The sequence below is a fragment of the Homo sapiens genome, chromosome 17 (assembly GCF_000001405.40).
Source record: "Homo sapiens chromosome 17, GRCh38.p14 Primary Assembly".
NCBI lineage: Eukaryota > Metazoa > Chordata > Mammalia > Primates > Hominidae > Homo > Homo sapiens.
The window spans coordinates 75,623,505-75,644,770 of NC_000017.11; the positions used below are offsets into that span (position 1 = coordinate 75,623,505).

At 59.7% G+C, this 21,266-nt stretch overlaps 3 protein-coding genes across 50 annotated transcripts in view, besides 3 other annotated features; 2 read left to right on the forward strand and 1 right to left on the reverse strand.

Moving 5' to 3' along the window:
* MYO15B (myosin XVB) overlaps window positions 1-3,345 on the forward strand; it is a 39,050-nt gene extending 35,705 nt beyond the window's left edge. For 25 of the 28 annotated variants that reach the window (NM_001395058.1, NM_001309242.2, XM_017025120.3 and 22 more), the window contains 11 exons: window positions 277-350; window positions 445-560; window positions 671-765; window positions 866-943; window positions 1,039-1,135; window positions 1,267-1,412; window positions 1,619-1,734; window positions 2,023-2,156; window positions 2,340-2,473; window positions 2,584-2,724; window positions 2,903-3,345. In NM_001395058.1, the coding sequence (NP_001381987.1) occupies window positions 277-350; window positions 445-560; window positions 671-765; window positions 866-943; window positions 1,039-1,135; window positions 1,267-1,412; window positions 1,619-1,734; window positions 2,023-2,156; window positions 2,340-2,473; window positions 2,584-2,724; window positions 2,903-2,980 (1,209 nt within the window). In that variant the 3' untranslated portion in view covers window positions 2,981-3,345. Of the gene's footprint in view, window positions 1-276; window positions 351-444; window positions 561-670; window positions 766-865; window positions 944-1,038; window positions 1,136-1,266; window positions 1,413-1,618; window positions 1,735-2,022; window positions 2,157-2,339; window positions 2,474-2,583; window positions 2,725-2,902 lie in introns of those variants that run through there. The other 3 variants (XM_017025123.3, XM_047436788.1, XM_047436789.1) reach the window with 3 other exon arrangements.
* RECQL5 (RecQ like helicase 5) overlaps window positions 3,350-21,266 on the reverse strand; it is a 40,301-nt gene continuing 22,384 nt past the window's right edge. For 2 of the 14 annotated variants that reach the window (NM_004259.7, XM_047437085.1), the window contains 12 exons: window positions 7,946-8,164; window positions 7,646-7,745; window positions 7,470-7,506; window positions 7,275-7,333; window positions 7,115-7,188; window positions 6,680-6,773; window positions 6,204-6,338; window positions 5,430-5,971; window positions 5,168-5,258; window positions 4,714-4,938; window positions 4,119-4,188; window positions 3,350-4,018 (listed from right to left, as the gene is read on the reverse strand). In NM_004259.7, coding sequence (NP_004250.4) covers window positions 3,918-4,018; window positions 4,119-4,188; window positions 4,714-4,938; window positions 5,168-5,258; window positions 5,430-5,971; window positions 6,204-6,338; window positions 6,680-6,773; window positions 7,115-7,188; window positions 7,275-7,333; window positions 7,470-7,506; window positions 7,646-7,745; window positions 7,946-8,164 — 1,747 coding nt within the window. In that variant the 3' untranslated portion in view covers window positions 3,350-3,917. Of the gene's footprint in view, window positions 4,019-4,118; window positions 4,189-4,713; window positions 4,939-5,167; window positions 5,322-5,429; window positions 5,972-6,203; window positions 6,339-6,679; window positions 6,774-7,114; window positions 7,189-7,274; window positions 7,334-7,469; window positions 7,507-7,645; window positions 7,746-7,945; window positions 8,165-9,766; window positions 9,845-9,954; window positions 12,375-15,473; window positions 16,505-20,323; window positions 20,596-21,266 lie in introns of those variants that run through there. The other 12 variants (XM_047437087.1, XM_047437086.1, XM_011525485.3 and 9 more) reach the window with 12 other exon arrangements.
* Window positions 9,002-9,682: an enhancer, noted in NCBI's record as "H3K27ac-H3K4me1 hESC enhancer chr17:73628586-73629266 (GRCh37/hg19 assembly coordinates)". NCBI's record gives its function as "activates a minimal SCP1, AML or CMV promoter by ChIP-STARR-seq in naive H9 embryonic stem cells {active_cell/tissue: H9 hESC(naive)}" and the evidence as "EXISTENCE:reporter gene assay evidence [ECO:0000049][PMID:30033119]".
* Window positions 9,683-10,362: an enhancer, noted in NCBI's record as "H3K27ac-H3K4me1 hESC enhancer chr17:73629267-73629946 (GRCh37/hg19 assembly coordinates)". NCBI's record gives its function as "activates a minimal SCP1, AML or CMV promoter by ChIP-STARR-seq in naive H9 embryonic stem cells {active_cell/tissue: H9 hESC(naive)}" and the evidence as "EXISTENCE:reporter gene assay evidence [ECO:0000049][PMID:30033119]".
* SMIM5 (small integral membrane protein 5) lies at window positions 9,930-17,902 on the forward strand. 8 transcript variants are annotated; one of them, XM_047436530.1, is made up of 4 exons: window positions 9,930-10,698; window positions 15,256-15,727; window positions 16,662-16,824; window positions 17,287-17,902. In XM_047436530.1, exons 3-4 carry the CDS (start codon window positions 16,698-16,700, stop codon window positions 17,391-17,393), a joined length of 234 nt encoding a protein of 77 aa, XP_047292486.1. In that variant the 5' UTR covers window positions 9,930-10,698; window positions 15,256-15,727; window positions 16,662-16,697; the 3' UTR covers window positions 17,394-17,902. The 8 variants fall into 8 exon arrangements, 7 of the variants coding, with proteins under 7 accessions (XP_047292486.1, XP_047292487.1, NP_001156467.1 ...); XM_047436531.1 differs by having other exon boundaries at window positions 15,256-15,366; XM_017024945.3 differs by lacking the exon at window positions 15,256-15,727 and adding an exon at window positions 13,561-13,658 and having other exon boundaries at window positions 10,556-13,349.
* Window positions 19,585-19,879: a silencer, noted in NCBI's record as "tiled region #461; K562 Repressive non-DNase unmatched - State 5:Enh". NCBI's record gives its function as "represses a minimal TATA promoter and a strong SV40 promoter by Sharpr-MPRA in K562 cells {active_cell/tissue: K562}" and the evidence as "EXISTENCE:reporter gene assay evidence [ECO:0000049][PMID:27701403]".

Sequence of the window (21,266 nt, forward strand, 5' to 3'; positions counted from 1 at the left end):
CTATTAATACTTGGGAGGCTGAGGCAGGAGAATTGCTTGAACCTGGGAAGCAGATTGCAGTGAGCTGAGATCATGCCATTGCATTCCAGCCTGTGTGACAGAGGGAGACGGGAGCAGCGAAGAAAGTAACTGAGTAGCCAGTGCAGTGATGTCTTAAGCTGAGAGAGACATCTTGAGCCAGCCCCAGCCCATGGCCTAGCAGGGTTTCTCCAGGGCTTCAGACCCCAGGCTCACCGCTGCCATCCCTCACCCCACCTGCCCTTCCTGTCCCCACAGCTGTGCCAGCAGGAGAAGCTGAGGGATGAGATTTACTGCCAGGTTATCAAGCAGGTCACGGGACACCCCCGGCCGTGAGTGGGGACCGGTGGCTTCTGGGGGTGGCTTCTGGGGGCAGCTGGGCACTGTGGCCTGGCCAGCCTGAAGCCCGAGCGCTCTGCCCTGCAGGGAACACTGCACTCGAGGCTGGAGCTTCCTCAGCCTTCTCACAGGCTTCTTCCCCCCGTCGACCAGGCTGATGCCCTACCTGACCAAGTTTCTGCAGGATTCAGGCCCCAGCCAAGGTGCCCGTGGGAAGGGGAGATGGAGGAGAGGCAGGGGTTTCTAGGACTGGGAACTTGGTGGGCTTGGGGAGACATGGCCATCTCATAACCCCAGGCTGGCTTCTCTGCAGAGCTGGCCCGGAGCAGCCAGGAGCACCTCCAGCGCACAGTCAAATATGGGGGGCGCCGGCGGATGCCCCCACCGGGTGAAATGAAGGCTTTCCTGGTACTGGGGGTGGCGGATGGGCATTGTGGGACACCCTGGGGTGGGGAGTGTCTCCTACAGGAGACCACTGGCCGACTGACCCTGCAACCTGCCTTGGCAGAAAGGACAAGCGATTCGCCTGCTTCTTATTCACCTGCCGGGGGGTGTGGATTATAGGACGAATATCCAGACTTTCACAGTGAGCTTGGGGGCCACCAAGGGAGGAGGCCTTGGGCATCAGTTCTGGGTCCCCCAGCCTCCCTCCCCCTCATCACAGTCTGTCCACATGCCCAGGTAGCAGCAGAAGTGCAGGAGGAGCTGTGCCGGCAAATGGGTATCACGGAGCCTCAGGAAGTGCAGGAATTCGCCCTCTTCCTCATCAAAGAGAAGAGTAAGCTTGGGGACGGAGCCTCACGGTGGGGCCACTCCCCTGCCCAGGGGTGAGGTGGTTTGGTTTCTGCTGGGGTGGCAGGGCCGGGTGTGTGTGGTCTGAGCAGCAGTGGACCTAGGCTCCCCATGCAGGCCAGCTGGTGCGGCCCCTGCAGCCCGCCGAATACCTCAACAGCGTGGTAGTGGACCAGGACGTGAGCCTGCACAGCCGGCGGCTCCACTGGGAGACCCCACTGCACTTCGATAACTCCACCTACATCAGCACCCACTACAGCCAGGTCAGCCTGCCTGCCTCCGAGCTGCTGCTGCAGTTTGAGGGCGCGGCTTCCTGCCTGGGCGACCTCCAAGCCCCTCTCCCCACAAGGGTGTGGGTCTGTGGTGGCTGGGGGGTGACAGTGGCAAAAGGAGGCTTGAGCCTCTAGAGCCACCAACTGATGGGGGGCTTTGGACCACCGCTGCCCTCCTCACCGTGCTCCCCGCACAGGTGCTGTGGGACTACCTTCAGGGGAAGCTGCCAGTCAGCGCCAAGGCAGACGCGCAGCTCGCCAGGCTGGCCGCCCTGCAGCACCTCAGCAAGGCCAACAGGAATACCCCCTCAGGGTGAGTGGAGGCACCTCCCGCCCCTAAGCCCCTCCCCTTCTCTAAGGTCAAGGCCATTTGACTGGTACCCTTCCTGGCCCTAAATGGACTGGCCAGGAGCAGCGGGGCCTGTGAACATCTGTCCTCTCCACCCCACCCCGAGCTCCTCTGGTGCAGGACCCTCACCTCATTCATGTGTATGGATGTCTAGTCTTGCCCACAATAGGCACTGGTTATTTGGCACGTGCTGTATGCCCAGCCCTGTACCAGGTGGTCAGGGGCCAAACTGACCCTGGTCACACATCCTAGGCAGGACCTGCTAGCTTACGTGCCAAAGCAGCTGCAACGGCAGGTGAACACGGCCTCCATCAAGAACCTGATGGGTCAGGAGCTGAGACGGCTGGAAGGACACAGCCCCCAGGAAGCACAGATCAGCTTCATTGGTGGGTCTGGGACTAGGGGACCGCTGGGTGGGGGCTGGAGGCCAAGAGGGAAGGAATGCAGGTAGAGGGGCGAGGAGGGGTCTGCGCCTGCCCTGTCCCTCTCAGCTGACCTGGGGGACCAAGCAGAGCAGGTTCCAGGGCCCCAGCAGTCAGATTTCCTGCCTGCACCCTCTCCACCCGCAGAGGCCATGAGCCAGCTGCCCCTCTTCGGCTACACCGTCTATGGGGTGCTGCGAGTGAGCATGCAGGCCCTGTCCGGACCCACTCTCCTGGGGCTCAACCGCCAGCATCTCATCCTCATGGACCCCAGCTCCCAGGTGGGCACAGCTCTTGCCTCAGCACTGGCCTAGGGACCCTTGGGCTGTTCCATCACCCACAATGACCCCTCCCCGGAGAGGAGACCAGCCCTGCTCTCTGCTGCCCCCAGAGCCTGTACTGCCGCATTGCCCTGAAGAGCCTGCAGCGGCTCCACCTGCTAAGCCCTCTGGAGGAGAAGGGGCCCCCTGGCCTGGAAGTCAACTATGGCTCAGCTGACAACCCCCAGACCATCTGGTTTGAGCTGCCACAGGTGAGTGGCCAGGCCTCTGGCCACCTTGCGAAGGTGGATGTGAGGGCCTTGCCCCAGCATGGCGTGCAGTGGGAGCCCAGGCCCAGGCCGATGCCCACTGCTCCGGAGTGCTGTGGGCCGGGGCAGAGGCGAGGGGCTGGCTGGGGAGCCCTCTTGTAACAGGCCTTTCTCTGGGCAGGCCCAGGAGCTGCTATACACCACTGTCTTCCTGATAGACAGCAGTGCCTCTTGCACTGAGTGGCCCAGCATCAACTGAGAGGAGTGCAGGCCGGGGAGAGAAGAGGATGAGGCCTCCCCCGGCCCAAGTCTCACCCACATGGTCTGCCTTGGATGCTATCAGATCACTGTTCTAGAACCTGCCTCAGCACAGCCCAGCCGGCCCACATGCAGGCCATGAGGCAGGGGCTGCTATCACGTCACCAGCAGGCAAAGAAAACAGCCAGACCCTCTCCAGGACGGCCTGGGGCCAAAGCGGGCTGCAGGAACTCGGCTGGGGCACCTGAGGTTGCCCAGTCTGAGGGAGATGCCCACCCGACCCCAGGCTCCGCCCAGGCCCCACATTAGCACAAGCCCAGGCATGGGAGAAACAGCTGCTGAGGAAATAAAACTCCCTGGAGAAAAGGGCTGTGTGCACGCCTGCATGCCCCACAACAACACAACTTTATTCCTCTCCCAAACATCTGTCAGGCCTGGCCTTCCTGAGCAGGAGCTGAGCAGGAACAGGGCCTGGCTGCCTCTCCTCTGCCACAGCTCTGACCTGGGCAAGGCTGGAAGCTGGCATCGTAATGGATGGGGGAGTGGGTGGAGGATCTGAGGGTCCCCTGGGTAGGTTCCGATACCTTGGACAGGTGGGCCTCATCCTGACTTAGAACTCGGGGAGGGGCCACTCTTCCTTCCCCTTCTTCCAGCAGCAGCTCCACCACCCTCCACCTTCTGTCCTCGACATGTGTCCCAGAAAACCCAGCCATGAGGACCGCTCTGAGAAGGGTCTATAGGCTTTGCAAGCAGAAAGAAAGGTGGGCTGACCTCTGACCTGGATTCAGGGGGTGTCTGGGGTCATCCCCAAAGCCAAGTATGGTTGGAAAGGAGAAGGACTGAGAAAAGACGATGGCCCTGGCATCAGCAGGTGAGGCCCAGGATGACCCATGCTAGAATCTGGGGGAGGACGCGGGCCCTGCCCAGCCAGCAGTTGGTCATCTCTGGGGGCCACACAGGCCATGCCAGTCAGCTTCGCTCTCGCACCGGGCCCGGCCATGGAAGAAGTGCCTGATGAGGTTCTGGGCCTCTTCTTTCACTACAGATTCAGGGTGGGGGCATGAGGAGGTGAGCGTTAGCCTCCTCCCTGTAGACCACCCTCCCAAGTGCCTCCTGGCCCTGGCAATGCCAGCGCTCACCGCTCCTTCCAGGAGAGGTCTTCTGAGTCAGCAAGTGTGAGAGGTGGCGGGCAAAGCCTTTAAACAACTCCTGGAAGGGAGAGGGAGAAGAGAAGCAGAGAGCAGGACCCTTGGTGGCCGGGCGCAGTGGCTCACGCCTGTAATCCCAGCACTTTGGGAGGCCGAGGCGGGCGGATCATGAGGTCAGGAGATCGAGACCATCCTGGCTAACACGGTGAAACCCTGACTCTACTAAAAATACCAAAAATTAGCCAGGCGTGGTGGCGGGTGCCTGTAGTCCCAGCTACTCGGGAGGCTGAGGCAGGAGAATGGCGTGAACCCGGGAGGCGGAGGTTGCAGTGAGCTGAAATCGCACCACTGCACTCCAGCCTGGGCGACAGAGATAAAAAAAAAAAAAAAAGAGAGCAGGACCCTGCCCTGACCCCCAGAGCAACCCACGGCCATGACCCAACGGCAAGGCAGGCCCCAGGGAGGACGGGCGTGGGGCTGGCCCTAGGCCCACTGTGTTCTGGGGCTCAAACTCCCTGCCTCCCACCCCCACTACACCCACATACCCCAGGCATGGGAGAAGGCAGAGCCCACTCACTCCCCCTACCTTGGAAGCAAACTTGCCCTCCTTGTAGAAAGGGGTGAGGCACTTGACCACAACATTTGCAGCCTCCTTCAAGGAGACGCCAGGAGCGGAGAGCTGGAAGGGGTCTTGAGCCGTGGGATTCAAGGTGCCCTGTTCGCTGGCCGAGACGCTGCCCTTGACCTCAGCTACGACGGAGGGCTTGGCTGAGGGGCGTGGCCTCTTCTGAGGCTGGCTCTCTGGGTTCTCCTGAGAAGGGCCACAGCAGAGGGTCACTCCTGAGCTCCCTTCCACTGGCCTGCTCCCCTCCTCCAGAAGACTGGGTCCCCGCACCAGCTGCCTCTCTCCAGCCCAGCCCATCTGCTGCCAGGTGTGGAAAGAAAGCTGATTTTCCCTGACCCCTTGAGCAGGGCACAACAGCTCCTGGCCTCGCCCACAGCCCTTCTCTCCTCCCCAACAGACTCATCCCTGCCGGCACCTGCTGGGATCGAGGCCGCTTGCCCTTCCATGTGTCCTTTGCAGGGGTGGGCTGGACTTCAGGGGTGCCCTGGTCTCTGGGCGGGCAGGTGCTGGTAGAGGGAAGAGCAGGCATCACAGCACTGGGTCCTGGTGGCTCCCTCATCCCAGGAGGCCTAGGAGAGCCCATCTCAGGGGTGAGCTCTGAGCTTCAGACGCCCAGTGAGCAAAGGGGATGCTGCCGTGTAGGTTCCAGAAGATTCTATGACTACCTGTACCCTTACCTTGGCCTCTCCCTGAGGCACTCCTCAGTCTGGGGAGGGGCAGGCGAATGTCCCCCGGCTCCATCTTCCTCCCCTGTGTACTTCTCTGGGGCCATCGGGGGTCCCTGAACCCCCTCACAGGAGGGGCAGGCACCTTCTGCCTCTGGGGCTGATGCCAGCAGAGCTGGGCTTTCCACCCTTCGGCAGAAGAAGCGGGCGATGCTCTGAGAATCCTTGTGGGCCGCTGTGGCTAGGAGCTGCTGTTTCTTGCTAGCCCGGCCCTTGGCAAGGGAGCTGCCCCCAGAGGAACTTTTTGCCTTCTTCTCAGGGGAGGGCCCCCCATAGTGAGCGCTGCCTCCAGGGACCTCCCCTCTGGGCCCAGGGAGGGGCTCACTCCCATCCTCATCCAGGAGGCCACAGGGCCGGCTCGGGGGCTCGTGCTCGCCTCCCCGCTCGGGCTGGGGGGCTTGCTCCCTGATCCGAGTTGTCTCCATCAGTTCCGTGGCCGTCTGGAACGGGCAGGAGCCTTTGGGGAAACCAGCTCCCACCCGCTTGGGTTTGAGCTGTAAATGTGAGCAGGAGGAGAGGAGGTTCAGCCCACTAGGCCCCCTTGAGGGCACCGCTGGCTGGAGCAGTAACTCACATTGGGACGGGGCTCTCAGGAGTGTGGGAGGGAAGAGGCAGGCAGGACCCTGGTGGGGAGCCAGGCCTTGGCAAGAGGTGCACCCCTGAGGGCAGAGGGGAAGTGAAGCCTTTCCTGGTCACAGGTCTGGAGGCCACTGGGCCACAGCTCACCGAGTACACATGGGAGGCTGGTGGAATGTCATACTCATTGGGCTCCGGGGGCTCAGCTTGGGCACTGCAGCTCTTGGCACTGCCTCCCATGTCATAGGGCTGCCCATCCTTGGAGGCTCTGTGGATATCGGCCACCTGGGCAGGGATAGGCAGGGAGGCTGTGGCACCCGCCAGCTCCTCCTGACATGCCCCACCTAGCCCTCCTTTTCTACTAGGCACTACAAGTGGGTTTCTGTGGCCAGTGGCCACAGGCAACTGACCACTGGGCAAGTTTTAGGCCTCCCATCCTCACAGGGTTGGCTAGAAACATGTCCAGCCAGTGGAGAATGGAGCTCTACCCCCATAAACTGTCTCTGGGGTGGGCTGGGGAGGGTGAGTTCTGGGCTGCCTGAGCCCAGAGAGCTGGCAGACAGCTTCTGCGTCAGAGTATGGAGGGGCCCCTGCAACGACCCTGGGTCCGCCTGCACCAGGCCCACCTTCTTCAGCACGCTGGCCTTGTAGAGGTTGGCCACCTTGGCGTTCCGGAATGTCTCATGTTCCAGCTCCACGGCCTTGGCCCGGAGGTCAGCTCTGTGGGTGCAAGGTAACAGGCACAAGGTATCAGGTGGGCCTGGGCTTCTCCCTGCTGAGCTCTTGCGGGACTCCAGGCCTGGTGGGGTAGGCCTTGGGCACAGGGATTCTGATTAGGGCTCTCTGAGCACCCTGTGGCTTACTGTCCCTCAGCAGCTGCTGGTAGCACCTAAGTTGTAGCCATGCCTGGCCCTGGTGGGGTTGTAGGGGCAGTCCCCTGGAGTAGGAGAGGTACAATCTGGGGAGAGGTGGCCCAAACAGGCCAGGGTTGACAGGGTCCTGCAGTCTCCAAGGGAACGAGAGCTTGGAGTGCTCCTCAGCCCAGTGATCGTGGAACTCACTCATCAGCGGTACGTGTTGACTGGCGGTTGCTGCTCAGCGCCTCCTCCAGAAGCCGCAGGCAGTGCTCCCGTGCCTGGCACAGGACAGTGAGACTGGTCGCATGGCCTCGCGGCTGGGGGAGGGCCCCGGCGGGTGGCTGAGGAGCTGCCCGTCTCTTACCTTCACAGTCAGCCTGGGGATCCTCCTGCTAGAAGCCTCTTTCAGGGGACAGTTCTCATCTGTGGGGGGGGGGGGTGGTCCTTGGTCCTTTCGCTCCACCTTCTGCGCTCTGAGGTCCCCCACAGCCCGGATGAGAATCCTCCCTCCATGCCCCGGGAAGAGCCCACAAGCCTCCAGGAACATTTCTGTACTGACCTGGGGGTACAAATTCTTCTATCTTGGGGTCTTTGCCCTGGAGGACAACATGAAGGACCCATGAGGCGTCCTGCCCTGCCGCAGGACAGTCCCATCCAGCACCAGAGAAGGGGCTGAGAGGTGCGAGCAGGGGGCCACCAGGGGCCCCACACAGGCCACTGAGTGCCTCCCCTCACCTTGCGCAGCTGCATCTGCTTCTGATAGAAGAGGTTCCACTCCCGCTTGTGGGCCTCATCTCTGCCTTCATCCCCGCTGCCTCCAGAACCTTCGTCATACCTAGGGACAGGCCAGGCGTGAGTGGCCCTGGCCTGGGCTCTGCCCTCCCCATGTGTGCTGCTGCTAGAACGGCAATGTCCCTGATGTCCTACCAGCTCAAGGGGGGATTGCGGCATCGTGCCACCTCTGGTCTGGCCCTGGCGCCAAGGGAATGCCAGGCAATTCCAGCGGGTTGGAGCCCTGGCTTCTCGGCCCCTTACCTGCTGAAGTCCCCGTAGCCCTTGCGGCCTCCCTCATACAGCTCGGGGTCAAAGCCGTTCCCCTGGGAGGGCCCGATGCAGGTCTTGCTCCAGCTGCTGCTGCGCTCCAAGGCCTCCAGCCGCCTCCGCACGGCCGTGGGGTTCTGGCAGTGGTCGCAGCCTTTGGCGCAGGCAGGCAGCGCATCCCCGAAGTACTTGGCAATGGCGGCATGGCGGCACCTGGAGCAGGCAGCACCGCAGAGGTGAGGGGCGGAGAGCCCAGTCGGCCAGCGTCTGTTCACCCGAGCCTGAATCGCTAGCTGAGCGAGCACTGCCGCGTCCGGCACCATGCCGGGAGCCCCACACCCCTCATCTCATCCAAGCTGCACCAGGCATCGTTTGGCTCTCCCCACTACACAGATGAGGACGATAAGGTGAACCAACTTTCCCAAGGTCACGTAACACATGGGGGTCTCCCGGGAAGCAGGATGTGAACCCCACTCTGTCCAGTTACTCCTCTGCTCCTCCCCTCTGTCCTCTGGCAATGGGATGTAGATGCTGGCTCTGCCATGAAGGGTGTCTTTTGGGTGACACACTTCACCTCCTAAAGCCCATGCATTCCCGTCAGTAAGATGGTGCAGAAAGGCACAGCCCTCACGGACTGAGCGAAGATGGCTGAGGTGATGTCTGAAGTGCATTACAGTACAGTCATGCCCCATGGAATGACTGCACAGCCAATGGTGGTCCCCTACGATTCTAACACTGTATTTCTACTGTACTTTTTCTATGCTTATGTGTGCTTAGATATGTGAATACCACTGTGTTACAACTGCATACGGTACTCAGGACAGTAACGTGATGTACAGGTTTGTGGTCTAGGAGCAACAAGCTGTAGCGCATGGCCTGGGTGTGTAGGAGGCTGTGCCGCTTGATATTTTTTTCCTTCTCTTCCCTGGAATTGCTGTTTGATTTCCCTAAGTATACTCTGTGACCGCACAATGACAAGTTAAATTTCTCAAAACGTATTTGCATTGCTAAGGCAGGCACGGCTGTGTAGTAATATGTCCCATCATCAACCCGTGAGGGTGTCACAGGTGGGGCCTTTAGCCAGGGAGACGCAGCCTCGCCTGGAGTCCTCCTCTCGTCTTCCTCTGTCTCAACCCTGCTGCAGCCCTCCTGGGGTGAGCGGCCTCTGCCCATGCTGGGAGCAGGGAGCAGCCTCTGGCTGGCCCACGAGGCTCTGTCGCATCTCTGTTCCCTCTGCATGGGGGTGGCTGTCGACCCTTGGGGCAGCTGCAGAGGCCGCAAGAGGGGCCATAGCTCTCTCAGGCTCCTTATAAACAGCCATTCCTGCCACCAGGAACGTGGCACAGGGTAGGGAAGCCCAAGAGGAGATGCTGGAACACAGGCAGGGCTGTCTGGGGTGCCACATCCCAGGGACAAGAATAGCTGGCATTAACTGCTCTAACTAGAACTCCTCCCAGTGTGAGCACTGCTGCGGCTGCAAGAAGCCCTTTGAGGGGCTGCGACCCCAAGGCGCAGGCTCAAGGATGCAAGGCTGATTGCAACACCCCGGTAAGGAAGCAGGGCCTGGCTGACTTTCTTTTAGCTGAGTGAATGCAGCTCTGAAGCCTGACCTGGGCTGGGACAGCCGAGGCGGCCACCAGAGGGCGCTCCTGCCCCCACTCTGCTCCAATGAGTAAATGCAACAAATGGTTCATCCCCAGGAGTCCGTGCGCCCGCACAGCGGCCGCCTGTCCAGCCTCTGGGAGGCTCTGGCATCCGAGTGGTGTGACCACATGGCTGGCTTCCTCCCCCTGCCCTCCTCAGGCCCTGACTCACTGGGGTTTTGTGCTCGGACTCAAAGAGCTCCATTGACAGCGGGGCTGGGGTCGGTTTCTCTCCACACAGCCTAGCCTGCTGGGAGGCACAACCAGGCAAATGTCACAGGGCCCGGCCCCTGGACTCTGGAGCCCTGCCCTGACAGCTGGGCCAGGAGTGCGGTCACAGCCCCAGCAGAAGGCCCTCACCTCACAAGGAACATGAGGCGCCTTGCCGGGCGCGCAGGCCACTCCCAGGTCACTCAGGATTCCAAGTTCTCCCCCAAGACGCCTTCAGATGCTGAGCGGCACAAGGGCCTCCCCAGGGACTGGTTGCAAAGCCTCCTGCTCAGCTTGAGAGGGCCACCAGCTCCCCACTGTTTACTGTTGTTCCTGAGAGAGGCCAGAGGGAGGGACCAGCCAGGGAGTGGCCAGAGGGACAGAAGGGGTGGCCTTCCTGAGGGCAGGGTGGGTGCCCCAGACCTGAGAGCGCTGCAGGACTCCCCTCCACAGGCTCAGGTGGAGCCTCCCCAGGGTCCTCCTGGCCAGGAAGGCAGAGAGCCGACTTCTTTCTTCAGCTCCCAACCCAGGCCCAGCCCACGGCGTGGGAGTCGGGGAGAGGGAGAGGAGGAGGAAGGAGGAGGAGAGAGGGAGCTTGTCTTGTCCCTGAGCAGCGCTCTCAGGGCAGAGGTGAGGCACCGGGACATGAAGTTGGAGGACAAGTTCCCAAGCAGGGCTTCCTCGGGCTCCCCCTCGCGACGGTAATTTGACACTTGGATCTCCAGGACGACCAACAACAAAAAAGCCAGGCAGAGACAGCAGCTGGCTGTCAGCAGAGGAGCTGGGCTGAGGCGCCCAGGGGAGCAGCGGCGCCCACGAAGGAAGTACGAGGACAGCACGTGGAGGCTCCGCGCTGGGGCACTGCTGCTCAGCCCCCAACACCTGAGCTCCCAGGTGAGTGGCAATGGCCACAGAAGAAGGGGGGACAGGGAGGGAGCAGCAAGGGTCCCCTGCCCCCAGGGTGAAGGGCCACAGTCTACCATAAACACGGAGAGGTCTTCGGGGACATGCTGGGTCGCTTCCCTGCAGGGAAGTCAGCCAGCCTCCTGCACACACCTGCACTCTCCCTGCTGCTGGGACCCTGCACTAGGGGAGGGCTGGGGGCTCTGCTCAGAGCGCCTCCTGCTCCGCCTGCTGTGCAGCAGAGGGGCCCCGAGGGCCTGCTTATTCTGCAAGTTCATTTCAGCTCTTTTATTCAGGGGGCTTAAAAGAGGGATTTGGCTGTCCAGCTTGGGAGAGAATGGCTGCCGGCCTGCTGAGCCTCCCTTTTTCCCAGGATTAGGGCAGAGCCCTGTCGAGGTCAGCGCAGGGTCTGCCCAGCCAGCATGCGGCGCCCCCAGGATGCAGCAGGACTCTGCCCATCTGTGTCCTTTCAGGGGCTTGGCCCACTCACTGCTGGTGTTCTCAGCTCACGGCTCAGCCTGGGTCCTCCTCCCTGGGCCCATCTAGAACCCCATAAACTCCTAGATCTCCCTCTGGTGATGAGCCTTGAACACCAAACCAGGAACCTGGAGGACTGACTTTCAACTCAGGCTCAGGTGGGCAGAAGGTCACAGAAGTGAGGCTGGGAGGGACCACGCTGGCAACCGGGACCTCTGCTGTGCCACCGTGATGCACAGGCTGACATGACACCACCCCTAAGGAAGCAGGACCCGGCTGTTTGGTTCTTTGGGGAACACTGAGAGCAGCCCTCCTGGGCAGGGCCCGTGAGCCGAGGCTGCCTACTCCTCCTGCCGCCCTGTCCTCAAGCCAGCGTTAAAGCCACCACCCCCCATATGTTTTCCTCAAAGCAAACAAGCTGGCATCTAGTGAGAAACAAAAACAATGACCCAGGGAAATGTGGAAACCAAGGACTAGCCCAAGTGTTCTCAGCTCAGCAGAGGCTGGGGGCTTCGGCTGGGGCTGGTGTCTGGGGAGACAAGCTCCTGCGGTGTTGGGAGGCGCACAGTAGGGAAGAGTCAGGCCAGGTCGGGGTCGGGGCACAGCGGTGAGCCTGGAGACCCCAGTGGCTGTCACTCACAAGACGCCCCAGGCAGGCAGGTGGGGATCCCTGTCCTGCATCCACAGGACACGAGTGGACAGGGTCTCTCCAACACAGTCCCTGAACCAGGACGGAGGGTGAATGAACAGCCAGCTTCTGTAGCTGCAGAAAGAGCGCCTACTGTTTCTAACACCAGCAGCAGAAAGCGCTTCCTCCCGCCCTGGGTGGCTACAGGAGCAGGGCCTGCCAGGGGTTCAAGCACCACTTTCTACTTCCAGTTGGAGCCAGGGCAAAAAGGGGAGTCACCCAAAGGCTCAGTGCCACAAATAGGGGCATCCCCCCCGGCTGCTCAGGCACAGGACCCTGCAAATCTCCCACAAGTGTCAGTTATGCCTCCTTCTAGGTGGACCTCAAACGAGATAATGCCCAACAGGGCAAGGGTGACTAAAACCCACCATGACGAAACAACAGGGCAGAGCAAGCAGCCCTCTGGGGCCCCGCGCTGCCAACACACCTCGCTTATCAGTCTCAAACACGCCGCCTGCTGCCAGCCCTTCCTCGTGAGGCGCCTGGGGTTGGAGTATCAGCTCTGCGAGGAGGAAACAGGGAAGCTTCGGGACCAAGTGGCAGCTGTCTGGCCTGCGGGATGCCTGCCTGTTGCAAGGCTCCGTGTGCCAGGAGATGCCACATAAAGGAATGCTTCCCATCCCTCCGGCTCTGCCAGCCTTCTCTGCCCTGAGTGTTTCCCCTGTGCTGACCGCTACTGCAGCCAGGGCACACCCTCTGAAGGCTCCAAGCAGGGCTGGCTGGGCAGCCTGGGCAGCAGGAGGGCCTGGTGGCAGCTGGGCTACACTCCCTCTTAAGGCCAGAGGGAGCCACCACTTGCTCTGGCAGCCACTCAGGAACCCCTGAGGACCCTGAGAAGCCTCCAACCAAGGCACTACTGAGCGTGGGGTTGGGAGGGACTCTGGTTGCCCTGGTTCGCAGGTGGGCACTACCAAGCGTGGGGTTGGGAGGGACTGGTTGCCCTGGTTCGCAGGTGGGAAGTGTGGTTTTGGAAGGAGTTGGGTGAACCTGAGATAGAAAGACGGGAAAAATATGGGATCATCAGTAGCCCTCCTGGGCTTCCCTGCCTTCCTCCTGCCAAACCTAGGAAGGGAAAGGGGAGGAGAGGTGGCCAGCCTCAGAGCTCCCATGTTCCCCTCGCCACAGCTGGGAACACTAAGGTTCCCTTAGGAGCAGCGGCTGGGGCACATGCCACACAGTCACCTGACGGCTGCTGGTTATATTGGGCACCAAGTGTCAGGCACTCCTTGGCCTGGCTTTAAATAGCCCGCTGGGAAGACCACCTGGGGACCGGCTGGAATGCGCCTCCTCCTCTTTAGAGAACAGGACCCCTCAGCTCCCCCACCTGCGCCATGAAGGTTCAGTCGCGGGTTTACGCTCCAAATGACAAGATATCAACTGCAAAACAAAGGGGGTCCCGGGGTTCCTCTCCAGCTCTCTGGGGGCAGAACAGCCACGTCCAACGGTCCTACTTCTGCTCACTGTGTGACAGGATACCGTGAGTACCCCTGGGTCAGACCCTGGGGCTGGGTGAGGCTGGCCATGCCTGGCTGGCAAATTCAGCTTCCAGTCAGCCCCCTAGGGAAGCCCTGGGCGCAAAGCTATGACACTGTCCACAGCCGCAGCCTGCTGCTGCTGGGAACTGACACTTTTCCCCGCTGGAGGCCGGGGTCCACCCGGCATGAGTCTGCAGCTCTCCCACTTTGCAGCCCCTGGAGGAGGCTGGCCAGAGCTTCTCAGCAACAAACCCCACTTTTCCTGCACCAGTAAATTCAGCCTCAGTCCAACCTTCCTCCTCCCTGTTCTGGTGAGCACAGCCCCAGGTCTCTCGCTCACAAGGAAAAGTGCCCCCTGCAATCTCTCCCTGGGTCTCTGGGTGTGGCACAAGCGAAAAAGCTCTCCCTGCCCGCTCCCTCTTTGAAGGAGTGTCTCTGCTGGGCTACATTAGGCCGTGTGGGCACAGTGCCAGTCAGGCTGAAAACGCCAGACCAAGTGTAGACAGAGAGGGAGGGGAGAAAGGCAGCCCAGCTCCTGAACCACGCGCAAACTGTCCCGTAAGGGACACTGTCGGCATTGTCGTCCCTCTAAGAATGAGGGAACCTGGAAAGCTGGGGCGTGAGGATGGCACGGAGGTCCCGGAACCAAGAGGGGACCACTGTCCTTGTGCAAGCCTGCTCCACCTGGCCAGAGAGAATGTCCCATTCAGTCTGACCAGAGGGTTCAGTCCTACACTCAGGCTGGCTAGACTCACAAGACCTGTACCTGTGGTGACAAGGACTCCAGGTAGTCTCAAAGAGCCTGGTGTGGCCCCGGCCTGGTGGTGATATGCTGATAAAAGCAGCTTCAGATCCACAAATGTGGGCTGGGGCTGGCCGAGCACAGCCAGCTGGCTTCCAGGGGGCTCTCGGGCCCTGGCTCCTGTACTGAGCCCACTGCACGGGCAGTACCCTCAGCGGGGCTGCTCCTGGCTATCTTGCTGGTCTAAGCTGGAGACAGGCCTCCATGGAGAGACAGCGTGGGGCACCAGTGGGGGTGCTGGCTGGGGCCCTGTCCTGCTGTGTAACCTCAGAGAAGTTGCTTGCTCTCTCGGGTCTCAGCTTCCCCACGTATAGAAGGAAGGAGGCGGGAGCGGATGATCTATAGCATTCTAGGACCCTATGCCTCTCAGTACATTTGAAAACTGAGATCCTCACCTCCACAGAAACGCACTCACTCCAGGTGAGGTGTGAGAAGCTGGGTGGATCTAACTCAGGGAACCCACGGCTTTTGACAAGAACTCATCTAATTTTCCACGGAGCCATCTTCTGCCTGCTACCCTCATCATCACTTAAAAAAACAGCTCCCCAGGCCGGGCGCAGTGGCTCACACCTGTAATCCCAACACTTTGGGAGGCCGAGGGCGGATCACCTGATGTCAGGAGTTCGAGACCAGTCTGGCTAACATGGTGAAATCCTGTTTCTACTAAAAATACAAAAATTAGCCGGGCATGGTGGCGCACACTCGTGATCCCAGCTACTCGGGAGGCTGAGGCAGGAGAATCACTTGAATCTGGGAGGCAGAGGTTGCAGTGAGCTGAGATCATGCCATTGCACTCTAGCTTGGGCAACAAGAGAGAAACTCCATCTCAAAGAAAACCAAAACCAACAACAAAAACATAGCTCCCCACCTCCAGCTTGCCTACCTTCCTTCAGGGCACACACCGCAGACACCCTAGGACAGACACCCAAAAGGTGTTGGGGGTGCTAGTGACGGTGCACGGGGGTGACAGCCCCCAAAGCCAGTGAGACCCGTCCCGGGGGGGCATTCTCGTGTGCCGGGCACCCCCCTATGGCTGTCTACAATGTGCTGCTAGATGGTCAGTCCTCCCAATAGCCTCAAAACACGGGCATCTCATTCCATATCAGAGACATGAAGCAACCTGTTCATGTCACAAAAGGAAGAAGTGGAGGTGGCATTCAAGGAGGAGCAGCTGAAAACACTAGAGCAGGCCCCTGGCAGAGAAGGAAATCCAGAAGGTACATGCCGGCTGCCATCTTGCTCCTGAAGGGCTACGAGGCAGAAGAGGGGGCAAGGTCTAAGTGACCACAAGTGGGACTAACTGGGGGCCAGCAGGGAGTCCGACCTTCTGCAGTGGGTGGGCTGCCTCAGCAGGCGGAGGTTCCTCACCATCCTGGGTGCTCATGCAAAGACCACATGGCCTCAAGGATGGCCGCAGGCCAATTGCAGGGTGGAGGGCCCCGTTCGATGACCTTCACGGTGGTTCTAAACCAGCTCTGCCAAGGCAGCGGCACCGGGAGTGACTGGCCTCACTGACGTAGCCATCTCAGCGAGAACCGGCTGAGACCTGGGACAAGGCAACGATAATTACAGCCAAAGGTCTGGCACCAGCCCCTGGCCACCTGTCCCCACCACCACCCCTGGATTAGAGCAACTGCCTTGGTGAACTGGATCAGGCTGGGTTGGGACAAGGTTGTCTCTGGCTCCTCTCTAAAGAGGCACCAGCTCCCTCATGCCCACAGGAGAGGCAGAAGGGGAAAGCCTTCTGGAGTGGCACCTTGGGCCTCTTGGGCACCCTGAGACAGGAAGAGGCTCTCCTGGGGCAGGGGTGGGAGTGGAGAGGACTTTCCTGGTCAGGCTAGAGAAACAGATGACGCCAGCAGGGGAGGGGCTGGCTTGAGCAACCTGGGCCTCCTGACCCCCTCCCAACAGACAGGACAGAAACCCTGGCAAAACCTGGAGGGACACGGTGCGGCCTCCCCCTCTGGCAGAACAGGCATGAGTGTAGAAACTGGGCTGGTGGGAGAGGTTGGGGGGCCTGGGGGACAGGGGGGCAGTTTTCACCTCTGACTGACCCTGGCCAGAAGCCCCATGAACCTGCTCTCGGGAGAACCTGCTCCTTCTGTCCCCACATTGATGGAAGGCAAGAGTACCAGCTTGGCATCCTATCCCAGTCTCCCCACCCCGAGGGAGCTGTGCCAGTCCCAAGCACCCAGGCAAAACCCAGTAGTGGTACCTCAAGACAAGGGAATGGAACAGCGAAGCCAGAAACCACCACCAGCCGCCGCCTTGGCCGGCAGCCCCCGAAGCAAGCCCTTGGTCTCACTGTCCTCACCGGCTTCCTCCACCCTGAGCTGTGTCAGCTGGGTGGGGACTGAGGGCCACCACTAGGTGGAAGTCACCAGGGGTGCAATGTGTGAGACCTGACAAACTTGTTCTGCGGGCTGCGGATGGGTGCGAGGGTGGAATCTCGGTGCTGCGACGAGTGTGGGGCCAGCCGTGGAGGCTCCAGGTGTTCTCTCTGCCCCAGCAGAGCCCGGCAGGAGCCCCAACAGGAAGCCAGCGCGGCATGGCTGCCACCGACTTCGTGCAGGAGATGCGCGCCGTGGGCGAGAGGCTGCTGCTCAAGCTGCAGAGACTGCCCCAGGCTGAGCCCGTGGAGATCGTGGCCTTCTCAGTCATCATCCTTTTCACAGGTTAGTTGGGGCACTCAGCACCCCATGGCTCTCCCTGGCATCTGGGAGAGACCACACCATGGTGCCAGCCAGAGGGCTGGCAGAGGTGGCGGGTGTCTGCCGGATCAAGGAGGAAAACCAGTTGTCCCTTGGGGGAAGCCAAGGGACTTCCCTCATCCTCTGATATGCTGCTTGGGTGATGGGCGGTGCTGGGGACTGGGCCCAGCAGTACCCCGGGATCCCAAACGCGGGGATGACGGGAGCCAGGCTTGGGCAGTGAAAGAGAAGACACAACATGGAGGAGGTTGGCCCTGGCGGCTGGCATGGGGACCGTCCGCACCTCTCACCAGCCTCTCGGATCTTTCTGACCTCCACCAAACCTGTGGGGGAAAGACCCTGGCAGGCAGTGGGTTTCTCTGGGAGGAGGGTGGGCATCCTTTCTCTCCCCCAACCTGAGTCCCGTGCTCTCTCCCGGCCCTCCAGCTACTGTTCTGCTGTTGCTGCTGATAGCCTGCAGCTGCTGCTGCACTCACTGCTGCTGCCCTGAGCGGAGAGGCAGGAAGGTCCAGGTGCAGCCGACACCACCATGACGGACGGGCGATGGCTGAGGAGAAGCTGGAGAGGAGATGGCCAATGCCATGACACAGGCCATCAGCCTGGCCCTGCAGCCCTTACCCCTCAAGACCAGGCTCCCCTGGCCCCAGCTCTGGCCCAGCCCAGGTACCTGGACACTGACAACTTGAGCCCTACCAAGGAAACAAGGGCTGGTATAGGTGCAAACCTCTCATCTGCCAGTGGACACTGGGTGCTGGGGAGTCAGCTGTTTCAAAGACTGGGTCAACTGCCTGGGCTTCTTCGCCTACCTGCACTTTTTAACAAAACAAGGAAGTAGGGGTCCCCATACCTTGATGGAGAACAGTCCCCACCTGTGGGCAATTGGCCCTTGGGGCTCTGCTGATACATGCCAAAGAGGAGCAAGGCAATCAGAGGGGCTTTGTGCAATAGCTTCTGCATCCGAGCTCCCGCCAGAGCGTGAGCATGTCAGTATTCTAGTCCAGTATTTGCCAGTTTCCAAGTAAAAGCTTTTGTGTTACGTGTTTCTGCGGTGCCGGACTCCCTGAGGTTGGGCTGGGCTCTGTACATTGGGAGGGGGTATGGCTGGTGCCCGTCCTTCCCAGGCCTCTGCTCTCCCTGTGCCCACGAAAGCTGGAAAACCACGCAGAGAAGCATGCCACACAGGCGGTTAACACCACGGGACCAGTGGACGGTGCCATGAAATTCCTGTCATGCATTAGCTGCTAATGAGCTCTGCCAGGCTGAGGCACTACTCTGCAGAGTGGCAGAGACTGTGTTTGCCCAAAGGCAGGAGCTAAGCTCAGGAACAGCACTTTACTCTGTCAACTGCCTGCACCTTTGGCCTGCACATCCCACACTAGCAGACTCAGACCAGTGGGTCTTCACAAACTGCCAGAGGAAGGCCCTAATGTCACCTGTAACCTGCCTCCTGACCCTGTGGCCCTCCCCCATTTGTGTGCTGTCTGGGCTCACACCCTCACCCTGTCAGCTGCGTGACTCAACTTCCCTAAGCCGAACTCCCCCTTGGTGAAATGGAGCAAATCCTGGTACTGCTTCCTGGGGTTTGCTGTGAGGATAAACTAAGATGACCTATGTCTAGCACTCAGCTCGGTGCTGGGCATATCTTTAGAGCCCCATCACCATGACCCGTTATTATTTGCCCCTCTAAACATGGGACCAACCAGGGCAACAGGGACCCATTTTAAAGACTGGTCTTGCTGAGAAGCAGCACCTTTCCTTCCTTACCCCCTCCTTTCAGCTGAGTTTTTCTTCCAGAGAACTTTCCAGGTAGAGCTACGAACCCAGGAGTGAGGGGAGGGGAGGCACATGGCTCCAGAAATGCCAATGGGTCCAGACAGAGCATCCCGAGGTGCCTCCCCGGGGCTTCCCCAGAGCCTCAAGAAGTCTGTGTTTTTCACATGCTTCCATCATCTTGGCCTGCGTGACCCGTGCTCTGGCCACCTGGGAGCAGAGCCCTGTCTACCTGGGAAACATGTCATGGAGAGGGGATCCCAGCCCCTGCCACACCCCCGCCATTTCCAGCTGGCAGTCCAGGCCACACTGGCAATAGCAGGCAGGGAGGGGAAGCTCTCACCCTCTGGTTTCACTTTCTAGTGTCCACGGACTTGTCTGACAGGTTTAGGTTAAAGACCCAGAGAGTAAGTGTTTTCATACAAAAGAAAAGAAATTCAAAAATTTGTCCATTCTCAGCCCCCTCCAAAGAATAGGATTCAGAATGATGACGATGATCATGAGGAGGAGGATGAAGATGATGATGAAGATGGCTAAAATTTACTGAGGAGTTACACATACTCAGCATTGTCTTCAGCATTTTGGTGCAGATAAACTCAATTACTCATCACAGTACCTCCATGTTGAAGATACCACTATTACCCCCATTTTAGAGATGAGGAAGCTGGGCCTCAGCGATGTTAGGTAACTTGTCTACATTCAACCAGCTGAAAAGGAGCAGGGCCTGCTTGAGTCCAGCCTATCTGGCTCCAGAGCCTCTGCTTACCACACCCAGGGCTCTGAGACCCAGAACTTGGCCTCCTGGTTGCAGTACAGATAAGGCTCTAATCCATTATCCTCCATCGACCAACCCTACACCCAAAACACCCACACCCCAAACTCTGTCTCAAAATAACCTTCGCAGGACTGGGTGGGACCCAACAGGTAAGAGCTGGGGTGGTGCCCAATGAGGCACCCCTCCCGGAAGAAAAACACAGGGTAGTGGACGGACAGGAAACCCTGCATTTTTCATTCCCAGCACCAATGGCTGGAGGGTCCCTGGAAGCCTTCTGTTTGGGAGATGGCCAACAGGGAAGCAGCCCAATTCCTGGGTGACTTTTCCATAAGCCAGTTTTCATCAGCATAAGAATAGCCCTGCTCCAGGGCGGCTGAGGCTGAGGCCCTTTGTTAGAAAATATTCTGCTTCCCCAGCCCAGCTGCGGAGAGGTGGGAACCACAGACAGCCCTGGGCACAGACAGGCCGAATGGCCGCTCTAGGGCAGGCGGTGAACAACTGCTGAGTCCGCACAGGATTCGGTCCCTGCCCTCACAGGACTCACTCCTCCCTGCTCCTTGGCCAACTGGCACACACCAGGCCCGGCTGTCGGGCCAACTCCTTCACAGGCTTCAAACCCACTGAGATTAACAAACCAGACCTGCTCTCCGACAGCAGCCTGGCCCGCTCCTTTAAGAGGCAGCTTCTTGTGCCGGTCTTCCCTGGGGAAGATGGGCATGGAAAGGTGGCAGCAGTTGCCCCACTGTGGGAAAGAATAAACAGAAAGATGCTGCAGACCTGGGCGGCCTGAAGACAGGTGGGGGCCATGGAAGGGGCAGCCATCAGGCTGGTTTCAGGTTTAGAGGACGTCTGACTTGGTCACCACCTCTCTGTTCCCGCCACTGTGCCATCCTGGACCATGCCACCATCAATGCTTACCTGTGGTCACTGCAGCAGCATCCTAAGTGGTCCCCACAATCATGTCGCCAGCCTCTTCATGCCCACCCCAAGCTGTGCCCTCTGCTTCCGCCACAGGGCAGGCTGCTCTCGGCTCCTCAAAAGGGCTGCACTCTACTCTGAAGACCTGCGTGCCACACTGTCTGTACATCATGCCTGATTAAAAGCTACAATAGGGATGGGCGTGGTGACTCCTGCCTGTAATCCCAGCACTTTGGGAGGCTGAGGCAGGCAGATCATTTGAAGTCAGGAGTTCAAGACCAGCCTGACCAACATGGTGAAACCTGTCTCTACTAAAAATACAAAAAAATTAGCCGGGTGTGGTGGCGCACGCCTGTAGTCCCAGCTACTCGGGAGGCTGAAGCAGGAGAATTGCTTGAACCCAGGAGGCAGAGGTTGCAGTGAGCTGAGATCACGCCACCGCACTCCAGCCTGAGCGACAGAGTGAGATTCCGTCTCAAGCAAACAAACAAAAAACAACAACAGACCAGCATAGTATATCACATGCATGTAATCCCAGCACTTTGGAAGGCCAAGGATCCTTGAGCTCGGGAGTTTGAGACCAGCCTGGGCAACATGGGGAGACCCTGTCCCTACAAATATAAAAAAAAATTAGCCAGGTGTGGTAGCATACACCTGTGGTCCCAGCTACTCCTGTGGAGGTTGAGGCAGGAGGACTGCCTGGGGCATGACAGTGGCACTGCACTCCAGCCTGAGTGACAGAGCAAGACCCTGTCTCAAAAAAAATAAAATAAAAATAAAAAATGACAATAAAGCCACGGATACAAGAATCTCATTAGAAAAACTTGGCAGAGAGTATATAAAAGTTTCCTCCCAACCGGGCATGGTGGCACACGCCTGTGATCCCAGCTACTCAGGAGGCTGAGGCAGGAGAATCGCCTGAACCCGGGAGACAGAGGTTGCA

What these genes read in the sequence shown, in the direction of transcription:
- SMIM5 (XM_017024944.2), top strand. Translation starts at nt 9,967, where the DNA reads ATGAGGCGCCTTGCCGGGCGCGCAGGCCACTCCCAGGTCACTCAGGAT. An exon ending in GCAGCGCTCTCAGGGCAGAG is followed by an intron (nt 10,435 to 10,529) that starts GTGAGGCACCGG and finishes TTGGATCTCCAG; the next exon opens with GACGACCAACAACAAAAAAG.